The sequence below is a fragment of the Homo sapiens genome, chromosome 4 (genome assembly GCF_000001405.40).
Source record: "Homo sapiens chromosome 4, GRCh38.p14 Primary Assembly".
NCBI classification, from domain to species: Eukaryota; Metazoa; Chordata; class Mammalia; order Primates; family Hominidae; genus Homo; species Homo sapiens.
The window spans coordinates 144,676,860-144,688,155 of record NC_000004.12 but is presented as its reverse complement, the minus strand read 5'-3'; the positions used below and the strand labels follow the sequence as shown (position 1 = coordinate 144,688,155).

Below are 11,296 nucleotides of genomic sequence, written 5' to 3'. Positions count from 1 at the left end.
AAGACAGCAGAGTTGAAAATCAGTGCTGATTCTAGAGCAAAATTTCTTTAAATGCGTTCACAGGCTGGGTTTTGGATGGTTATTTGATGGATTTTGTTCACAATTATTAGACATAAAATTTGAATCCTGGTTCGACCAGTTGCTAGATATATATCATTGAGAAGATTACTTAAGTTTCTGAACATGAGTTTCCTTATCCATAAAAAGGGATAATCATACCTAGTTTACAAGATTGGAACTTGTAAAGACTCTGTAACACAGTGGAACTTCAAAAAGGTGGATTTCCATTCCTAACAAGTTAAAAGCCGTATGCAAATAGAATGTAAGTTATCAAACTTAGTTTTGATAATGCTGAGATGACCTATAGGCCAATAGCAAAAAAAAAAAAAAAAAAAAAAAAAAAAGTTGCCAAAAGTTATTAGGCACCTGAAACATCTAAAGCACTGACTAGACCAGTGAGTTTTATGGCTCTGTGGTGGAGGAGTGATGCAACTGATTGTGTAAGGGATGAAGACACTGAAGCATCAGCTTAATTTAGGGCAACTCCACACAGAATGAAAGAATTCAAAGGTGTTGGTTTTCCTTTTCCCACATAAGGCTCACTACACTATGAGCACATCTAGTAAACTTTCTTGATTCCTACTTGCAGGAGACAAAAATATCCTCTGTGAAATTGGTAGAAATTAAGCAGGGATGCATCATTAAGCTCTGTACTAGCCTAGAGTTAATGCATTAATGTATACTCTAAACCAAAGCCATGTAGAGGAATGGCTGCATTAAAGATGGATTTGCCAGATACTACATTCAGCCCTTTGATTTGTCTGAGTAGCACCATCTGTGGAATCACACTTTTCCCCGAGTCACTCCTGTACTCCAAAACTCTCTATTTATGTGAAAGCCATACTTATTGCAATGTAGCTTCTGCACAAAACACATGAAGAGAATATTATTAGGTTGTTATAGGATTTATGGCATGGATGGCTGACACCTAGACAGATAAACATAAGCAGGATTATTTGTGACATTATGAAGCTGTAACCAATGATAAGCAGACTGGCTGAATATAATAATTACATAGAATGACAAAGCAGCAGTATATGACCAAAAAATAAATCACACTTGCCCTGAAGACTTGATGATTTATTTTAAGCCACTCTGTCATGGGGCCCAAGAGATAAAGAGCAATGCCTTGAACAGCAATTATTTGGAAATAAATAGAGGCTAAGCGTCTTTCTTTTTAAGGGTTTAAGTTTTCATACATGTTCCTATTTTCATATTTGTCTCTGTGACTGTTGCACCCAGACTAGGGTTCTACCAGAAAGCTCTGACAACTGTACAAGCTGCATTGCTAAGAAAGCTGTGGCCTTAAGCTGAGCCAGCAAATGGCTCTACATTCTCATTCTCTCTTCTCCTTCTTTCCACTTAGAGACGTGTAGGTCTTTAATAATCTTTTAATAGTCTGAATTAAGTCTTTAACTTAAAAGTCTAAGTTGTTTTTAGAAATTTTATGTTTTAATTACAATTTGGATAAGCAGAGAGCAATTGCCTTTCCCATAATTTCTTTTAGTAACATTTCCTATTTTTCCTTTGTTTTACTATTAATATTTCTAATGTATCTTTAATCTTCCCTTTTGTTCTCCATCCCAATTTCAATACCATCTTTAATCCCAAGGCACCCTACTCTTGTGAGAGATACTGATTTAATAGTACTCAGGATCATCGATAACTAACTACTGTATTTTAACCCAGCCTTTTTTCTTGAACAACTTTTAGATATTTCTACGGAGTTTTTAAAATCTTTGCAGCATTTTCCCCAAAGACTGCTTCTCATGAATTTCCTGGCTCTTAAAAAAAAAATCCCTCTTCTTTAAGTTTGGTGTCATAATAATACTTCTTAGAGCCTCTAGGGAGGATACCGAACTTAATTATATTATGGCCACTGTAATTTGGTGGGTGAGCCACACTTACTTCCTTAACCAATTCATATGCTACTCAAGGCTAAACCAAGAGTAACCTCTCTTTATGCTTCAGCAACAAGCTGTTCCAAGAAAGCAGTTGTTTATAGTATTGAGAAACTGTGCCTCCAAGCCACATCCCAGTGTAATGTTCAGTTGGCAAAAAAGAAGGCTGTATGTTGTTCAACAGGGAAATTTGCCTCATTCGACCACCCAAGAGGGCAGCAAAAATAAGTCACCTAGTGAAGGTGGTCTTTATACAAAGGTCAAACAGAACTTTACGGGAAACTTTGGGTGGACTGGAAAGTCCTGGCTTAATATAGTGAACTGCATAATTTAAAATGTGCTTCAGTTTTACTATAAGCAAAGCTTATTGTAAGATCAATGCATGCCTGATTATGCTTTTTAATAAAAAGAGCAATAATTAAATAGGAAAGAAATGGAACAAGATGGCTGGTGCAAGACATTATTTTCTAATCCTGACACAATCCTAGAGGAGCCGCCTTCCTTCTTCTATTTTTTTTTCTTTTATTGGTAGTTGTTTGTTGTCTATAGTGACAGCCACGTGATTTTCTTGATGATGAAAAGGATGAGAAGGTCCTGTGAAAGTACAAGAGCAAGAAAAGGAGGCTTGGCCATCATGTTGCTTCTATCAGGCATAAGATACTAACTCCAAGTTAACTGAAATTCCACAATTTTTCAAATGTTTTTGTTTTTGGTCATTTGTTGCTATTATAAAAGTCATTTTAATGTCTACTTTATGATGTACAACTATTTAATATCACACATAGTATAGTTAAGGAAATTTTGTAATTTAAAAATCTCCAAATATTAAGGTGACTGTATGTCCTGGTTTTCTGAACATAGTTCTGGTCTATGTCCTAGTACAACTATTCAGAGACTCATCTTTAACTCTCAGAATTGTCTCAATTTGGTGACAAATTAAATGGACACCCTTACTTTAATATATACTTCAACTACTGAGCTTGAACAGAGGAGAAAATTCTAAAAGTACACTTCTAGATAAAAATTTCAGTTTTGAATAGCAAACACTGCCCAAGGCTGACACGCAGGAAAATGATATTGGTATGATCCCTCTTCTCCAGGAGCTTATGGCCCACATGGACGGGGAATGTCAGTGTAAGTTGAGCAGTGCTACAGTTATGATGCAATTCATGAAGGCTGTTCTTGGGCTATCTTGTATAGTGCAAAAGGTTGCAGTTGTAAAGTACATGGAAATTGTTCCATTGATAATGGTAGAGAGTATCAGTATATGCAGGGGGCCAAGATAATGAAGTTAGGATTTGAAATATGTGTACAAGACCCAGGCAGACCAATTAGTGGTGGAAATCCTACACAAGTCATTTAGAGTTGAAAGTTACAGAATACAATCAGAAGCAACAATGCCACTTTCTTTTCACTAGTCTGGTATATGGAAATAAAAAATGGCTCCTTATAATGATGTCCTAAAAAATTCAAAGCCCTAGGAAATATAAACCATAATCTCAAATAGGACTATAATGTGTATTTAGATAAATATGCTAAACTTTTTAGAATATCCCTAATTTTGTTAAAATATCCTTGTACAAATGTTATTCTAGTGTCTTCAAAGATTTTCTTTTGGCCGGGCGCGGTGGCTCACGCCTGTAATCTCAGCACTTTGGGAGGCCGAGGCGGGCGGATCACGAGGTCGGGAGATTGAGACCATCTTAGCTAACACGGTGAAACCACGTTTCTACTAAAAATACAAAAAATAAAAAATAAAAATAAAAAAAATAGCCGGGCGTGGTGGCGAGCGCCTGTAGTCCCAGCTACTCTGGAGGCTGAGGCAGGAGAATGGCGTGAACCCGGGAGGCAGAGCTTGCAGTGAGCCGAGATCGCGCCACTGCACTCCAGCCTGGGTGACAAAGCGAGACTCCGTCTCAAAAAAAAAAAAAAAAAAAAAAAAAAAAAAAAAAAAAAAAAAAATTCTTTTTTTTTTTTGTATTTTTCATAGAGACGGGTTTTGTCATGTTGGCCAGGATGGTCTCGAACTCCTGACCTCAGGTGATCCGCCCACCTTGGCCTCACAAAATGCTGAGATTACAGGCGTGAGTCACTGCGACTGGCCTAATTCTTTCTTTCTTTTCTTTTTTTTTTAGACGGAGTCTCACTCTGTCGCTCAGGCTGGAGTGCAGTGGTGCAATCTCAGCTCACTGCAACCTCTGCCTCCTGGGTTCAAGCAATTCTCCTGCCTCAGCCTCCCAAGTAGCTGAGAGACTACAGGAGGTCTTCAAAAATTTAAGGCAACACAACTTCTCAGGGAGGAGTGTGCTCAGAATCACTAATTGACCATCCAAATCGCGGGCCAGCAAACGTTTTTCTTAAAGAGCCAGATATAATATTAAATACGTAAGGCTTTGTGGGCCATGGAATCTCTCTGGCAACTACTCAAACCTCGCTGTTGTAGCACAAAAGTAGCCACAGAGAATACATAAACAAATGATGTGGTTGTGTTCCCATAAAACTTTATTTACAAAAACAGGCTACAGGCGAGATTCAATCCGTAGATTGTCAAGCCTGAATCTAAGTCATTACCATATAGTATGTCTTAAGTACACTTTACTCTGGCCTAAAAGCTAAATAATATCCACATATGTGGAAGCAGTTGGTATACTATAATTTATCGTAAGTTTTAAATGCAATTAAATTTACATTATTTGACTATTATCTTAAATTTAGTTTCCAAGAACCAACCATTTAAACACAGTGGTCTTTTGTTAACTCTTTACCATTCCTAAAACAAAAGGAAATGTTGTAATTAGCCACAATATTTTTAAACTATAGCTCAATTTTATATTCAGAAACTCTTCATAAAATACCGACTTATTATTTATTTCTTATATAAAAATTAAGACTTAAGTGAATAGCTTAGCTCTGTGTTTATCTCAAGTGAGGACTAAGATTAAGAAGATATTTTATTTCTGTTCAATCTGATCCAAGCTTCTTTATTTTAGATAGAAAACAGGAAACATTAATTATTAATTACATATCAACAATCTAAGCAAATTAATAATGTTTCAAAATTACTGGACAAGAACGTAAAATCCTATGACCTGACAATGGAGCTTTATTCTAGAAGTTACTACTTTAATGTGGGCAAGATTATAAAACCAGAGATTTGTTTTCAGTGTCCAAACCCTCTCAGGTTTTGCCTTTCTTTCTCTCTTTGCTTAAATCTATTTCTTCCTCTAAACGCAAATATATCCAAGCTTTGTTTTATCAAAATCTGCATTTGAGACAAGAACTGGAATTTGCTCTCATTAAACTAAAAAGACTGGGAAGGGTAACAGTCAGCTTTCTCAGTAATATTTGCACTTTAACAGAGATTAAGCTAATAAAAATTTGGCCAGTGATCTTTGAAAAATATATTTCACACATCCTTGCCTACGTAAATACAGTTTTAACTTGTTCTTAGAGTCTTAGTGTCAATCTTTTAAAAAATGGTCTCATCTGTATTTTGTTTGACACATAGAGATGGTGTTTTCTTAAAAATAACTAATAGTCAATAGCAGTAATGCTGCTATTTCAGTCTCTCTTCCCAAAGTTGTCTGTTAAGAAATTCCATTGATTGAAATATCAATGAGAAGTGAATGCAATCTCTCTCTCTCTTTCTAACAGCTTTATTTTTTAGAGAAGTTTCAAGTTTACAGGAAAATTGAACAGAGATAGAGATTTCCCATATATTACAGTCCCTGAAATACTCTTTTACTTTGATATTTGGTGGTGTTTTGAAAGAAATAAATCCAACCCAGAGTGAATGGGTTTGTCAAAACGTGGTGCCATGTGGCCCTTCACTTTGTTTTCATGGGAAAACACTGCATTTCCTTTGGTTAAGAGCACCTGAACAACCAGCAGGCATTGTTATCCCTAAAGGAATCTATTACTCGTGCTGTCTAACTTTCAGAGTATGTTGAGAAGTTTTCGCTGTCCTGCAAATCTCCTGCTTCCTCCTCTGCTTCTCAGTTCCACTTCTCAGTAAATTAGTCTCTAGAGTGCTTTCTATGTCCCCCATATTTCTAATCTGCTGTTCTAATCACTATCACTCAGAAACATGAACGTTCTGGGAAAGCTTACAGCAAAACATTAGGCTTGTTAAACAATGAAGATTAATTTTACAAATAATTCAACATGAGTATGGCTCTGTTGGGCTAGCCAACCTCAAACTAACAATTTTGTCTCCCTATGCTTTAGCTTCCACAGCTGTAGAATGAAAGAGCTAGGTGGCATGATTCCAAAGGTTCCTTCCAATTCGAAAAGTTTTATAATTTTATAACTAAAGCACGTGGCCCACAGCTATCTTCTTTGATGCTCAGAAGCCAATGTTGCTTCATTTTGCCTTCCCAATTCTGCCCCCAAAAGGTGATGATGAAATCTGATTGCCAGATAAATGAGATGCTAAAGCATGCTGCTGTGAGATAAGAAGTCTGCAATCTGGGGGCTGGATGCAGTGGCTCACGCCTGTAATCCCAGCACGTTGGGAGGCCGAGGCGGGAAGATCACAAGGTCAGGAGATCAAGACCATCCTGACCAACAGGGTGAAACCCCAGCTCTATTAAAAATACAAAAATTAGCCAGGTGTGGTGTCCTGCACCTGTAGTCCCAGTTACTCGGGAGGCTGAGGCAGGAGAATTGCTTGACCCAGGATGCGGAGGCTGCAGTGAGCCGAGATTACGCCACTGCACTCCAACCTGGGTGATGGAGCGAGACTCTGTCTCAAAAAAAAAAAAAAAAAAAAAAGAACTCTGCAATCCGATAGACTTTTGAAGTCCAAGAAGCTCTGAAGAGCAAAAGCAAAGGCTTTTTTTTTATGTTTAGTGCATATTTATTTGCCAGCAAAACTAGACCTGAACGGTTGTGAAACAATTCATAGTCTTTATATATTCAGATGTTTTCTGCAGTTAGATTAATGTATAATATACAAATCATATTGACTTAATATACACCTGAAAATCCCTGAATTCTAATACTTATCTAGTCTCAATGGGTTTCACATAAAGAAAAGTGAAAGATGGTGAATCTGATATATTTGTAAAGATGACCTGAATACTACAGTATTTCATATTTTACATATAAGAATAAGCTGTTTTCACATTTTTCATGATACTTTTATGTACATTCTTTGAAAATTGGTCATTTTCACCGTGTATCTTTTAAATTATTAGTCAGTCAAAATATATAGTTAATGAGAAGTTCCTATTCCTTGGTAGAGATAAATAGAAATTTTCTGCATTTTAGTATTTTGCAGGTCAATACTGGGAACAATGAGATGGCGTCAATATCCTGACAGTAAACAAGTAAATAGGAAAACATTTGAACCTGCTTAGACAGTAATCCTGGACACAAGTCCAAAAGCCCTCATTCCTTCTATCTTTCTCTCTTTCTAATACCATAAATCTCTACCTGAATGTTTACAATTAGTAATCCATCAACATGTAAAAATAGAGTTCTTCTGTTTCATTTAGAAGAAGTCCAATAATCATTCTCGCAATGAATGAATGAATTCATCAATGAATGGCAAACATATAGTCATAGCTCTGATGTAGAGCTGAACCATATTATTTTTGCAGATCTACAAAGTACAGGGAAGACATTTACTAAGTTCCTACATAGAGATCTTAGAAAATAGATTATTCTTCTGAGCTGATTTCCACAAATCTGTCAGTTTTTTGATCAAACAGAAAGTAGCTTTGTAACTGTCTTCTGGTAACAATCCTCTAGCTAGGTTGCACCATGGGTAAAAAGCTTGTCTTAAAGAAAAATGTCTTCCCATCATTTGAATGAATGGCAGAATGAACAGCATGACAAGGGGTCAAGGTGGTGAAATAAAGCAGAAAGGTTATTTAAACTTTCTACATAAGTAAATTAAACATTGCTTTTAGAATGGCTATGGCAGACAATAGAAAACAAGAAGTTTTTTTTTGGTAAAGCACAGTGAGGACATAAGCATGTTTTTAGTCAGAAAAAACTAAAATCATGTCATATAATTGCACAAAACTACTCCTACCTAAAACTCAGACATGTAAGACATAAACACGTTCTTTTCATTAAAAAGAAATTAACTTTTTATTTTTGAATGCTTATTGTATATAGTTAGCATTAATTTCACGAACATGTTTAAATATAACAAAGACTGTCAATGAGAAAACAAATGACTAATTTAAAATCTTTCCAAATTGCTAGAGATAAAAGCACACACATTCTCCAACAGAGTCAGGATTTGTGCTTTTTAAACTTTCTCTTGTTTTTATATAAGTGAATAAACAAGAACAGATTTTAATATGCATATTAAATAGCAAAGGCACACTAATAGACTCATGAGAATGTTCAGAAATGTCCTGCATATTTCAAAGTATAAAGAAATACTGAAAATATTACATTTTAAGTAGTCTACATCATGTTAGTCGTATTATTATGACTAAAGACAAAATATGTCATACAGAACAGAACAGAGGCCTCAGAAATAATGCCACACATCTACAATTATCTGATCTTTGACAAACCGGATGAAAACAAGCAATGGGGAAAGGATTCCCTAATTAATACATGGTGTTGGGAAAACTGGCTAGCCATATACAGAAAACTGAAACTGGACCCCTTACTTACACTTTATACAAAAATTAACTCAAGATGGATTAAAAACTTAAATGTAAGACCTAAAACTGCCCTAGAAGAAAACTTAGGCAATACCATTCAGGACATAGGCATGGGCAAAGACTTCATGACTGAAACACCAAAAGCAATGGCAAAAAATAGCCAAAATCAACAAATGGGATCTAATTAAACTAAAGAGCTTCTGCACAGCAAAAGAAACTATCATCAGAGAGAACAGGCAACCTACAGAACGGGAGAAAATTTCTGCAATCTATAAATCTGACAAAGGGCTAATATCCAGAATCTACAAAGAACTTAAACAAATTTACAAGAAAAAAACAGCCCCATCAAAAAGTGGGCAAATGATATGAACAGACACTTCTCAAAAGAAGGCATTTATGCGGCCAACAAACATAGAAAAAAAAAACTAATCATCCCTGGTCATTAGAGAAATGCAAATCAAAACTACAATGAGATATCATCTCACGCCAGTTAGAAAAGAGATCATTAAAAAGTCAGGAAACAACAGATGCTGGAGAGGATGTGGAGAAATAGGAATGCTCTTACACTGTTGGTGGGAGTGTAAATTAGTTCAACCATTGTGGAAGACAGTATGGGGATTCCCCAAGGATCTAGAACCGGAAATACCATTTGACCCAGCAATCCCATTATAAACCCCTAAGGATTATAAATCATGCTACTATAAAGACACATGCACACGTATGTTTATTGCAGCACTGTTCACAATAGCAAAGAACCAACCGAAATGCCCACCAATGATAGACTGGATAAAGAAAATGTGACATACATACACCATGGAATACTACGTAGCCATAAAAACGATGATTTCATGTCCTTTGCAGGGACATGGATGAAGCTGGAAACCATCATTCTCAGCAAACTAACACAGGAACAGAAAACCAAACACTGCATGTTCTCACTGATAAGTTGGAGTTGAAGAATGAGAACATGTGGACACAGGGAGGGGAATATCACACACCGAGGCCTGTCAGGGGGATGGGGGGCTAGGGGAGGGATAGCATTAGGAGAAACACCTAATGTAGATGACAGGTTGATAGGTGCAGCAAACCACCATGGAACGTGTATACCTATGTAACAAACCTGCATGTTCTGCACATGCATCCCAGAACTTAAAGTGTAATAATAATAAAAAAAGTCATACTTCTTTACCAAAGTTAATTAAATTGCACATAATGGAGTTCAACATCATTGGAAAGAAAATGTGAACTTTAGAGCCGTAGGGTACAAAATATTTCAAAGTTAAGTTACCAAAGTACAAAACCTCATCATTAGATGTTTCATAATCTCTATATAAGCATTTTGGAGGCAGTTCCTGATATAATTCTGTTATTCTTATAGTTTTAGATGCAAATTACAGTGATTCCCTAATAAATATGATTAATGGACAGAAATAAAATAGAAATTTTACAAAAGCCTTTTAAAGTAAGGATGGGACTATAGGTTGTATAGATGTGTTTCCTACAAGGATTCAGCGACTCCTTTTTTGGGAGATGAGCCATTTTCTGCAACTTAGAAGTTACTAAGTCAGTCTTTTTGACCCCATTGCTTCTGGCGTTCCAGCAAGGCTTCCTGGACATATTTCATTGCTACCTCAAATGTGGGTACCTCTCTGGGTCTACACGTCTTATAAAAGGAAGTAGATATAAGTGAGCAAGAAACAAATATTATATGAACATTAAGAAAATACCATCTAATTAGGCACACTCTACCAAGCAAAAGCCTTAATTTGGGTTGCTTTATAAACCTTAAATGTCTCTAACAGAGGAAAGCCCAGTACTAAGAAGCACAGGGAGAATGTCAGGCAGGATTGAATATTAAGAGCCTGGACTCCGGCTCCGAGTGGTCTTATTTGTTCTGTAAGCCGTGAATGTCTGTTGTTATTGCTGCCCAGGGTCCACTCCTTTCTCTACTAACAACACCTCGATTTCCCCTTGGGGTGGTACCCTTTCCACACTTGTGGCTGAGTGCTTTGGACTCTGTCCTTGGCTCCAGAGAAGTTCTGGGACCCATGAGTGGCCCCAGGATGGGTGTGGGGCCCAATCCAGTGGCATCTGTTATGAGACTGCTGTTGAGACTCACGGAAAAGCAGCCCTCATTCTCCTGGATTTGCTAAGCTGGTAGGATGTAAGCTTAGAGCTGCTACAATCTGTGCTGCAAGGAGAAAGCCTGCGAAAAAATGAAGCCAACACGGGGGAAAGTAAAATTGTTTGGTTTTTGATGAAGCCCATCTGAATTGAGTTTCTGTTTTTCCTAAAGTCTTCTCCCCTTGCATTCATTTTTCATTTCTTTTGAGACTCAGTTTTTAAGCTGTCTTGTCCCCCAAACAGGGAGAAGCTCCCAAATCCTGTACAAGGGGAAGAACGGCAGTCACAGTAGCTAAGGTAACATTTGTCTTAAGCCAACTGGTTGCACAGAGACCTAACATGTCATTGGGAGGCTGGCCATAACTGTCCTTGCTGTTTACCACAGAAGAGACACAGAGTCCCTAGCTGAACATATAAGATGTTTTATAGGTACCCTCTCTGGCCTCAGTTTACATGTTTAGCCTGATCTCAATCTCTTAATCATGTTTCTTGCATGAAAGGCAATGCCCATATCCTTTAAGAATCATTCCTATGTGAGACACAGTCATCCTCAGAAGGATGGAGTTACCGGTTCACCTGTTC

At 37.0% G+C, this 11,296-nt stretch overlaps 1 protein-coding gene across 3 annotated transcripts in view; it reads right to left on the bottom strand.

The window, feature by feature from the left end:
- HHIP (hedgehog interacting protein) overlaps positions 1–11,296 on the bottom strand; it is a 99,116-nt gene that overhangs the window by 57,116 nt on the left and 30,704 nt on the right. The gene's annotated exons all lie outside the window — the stretch shown is intronic.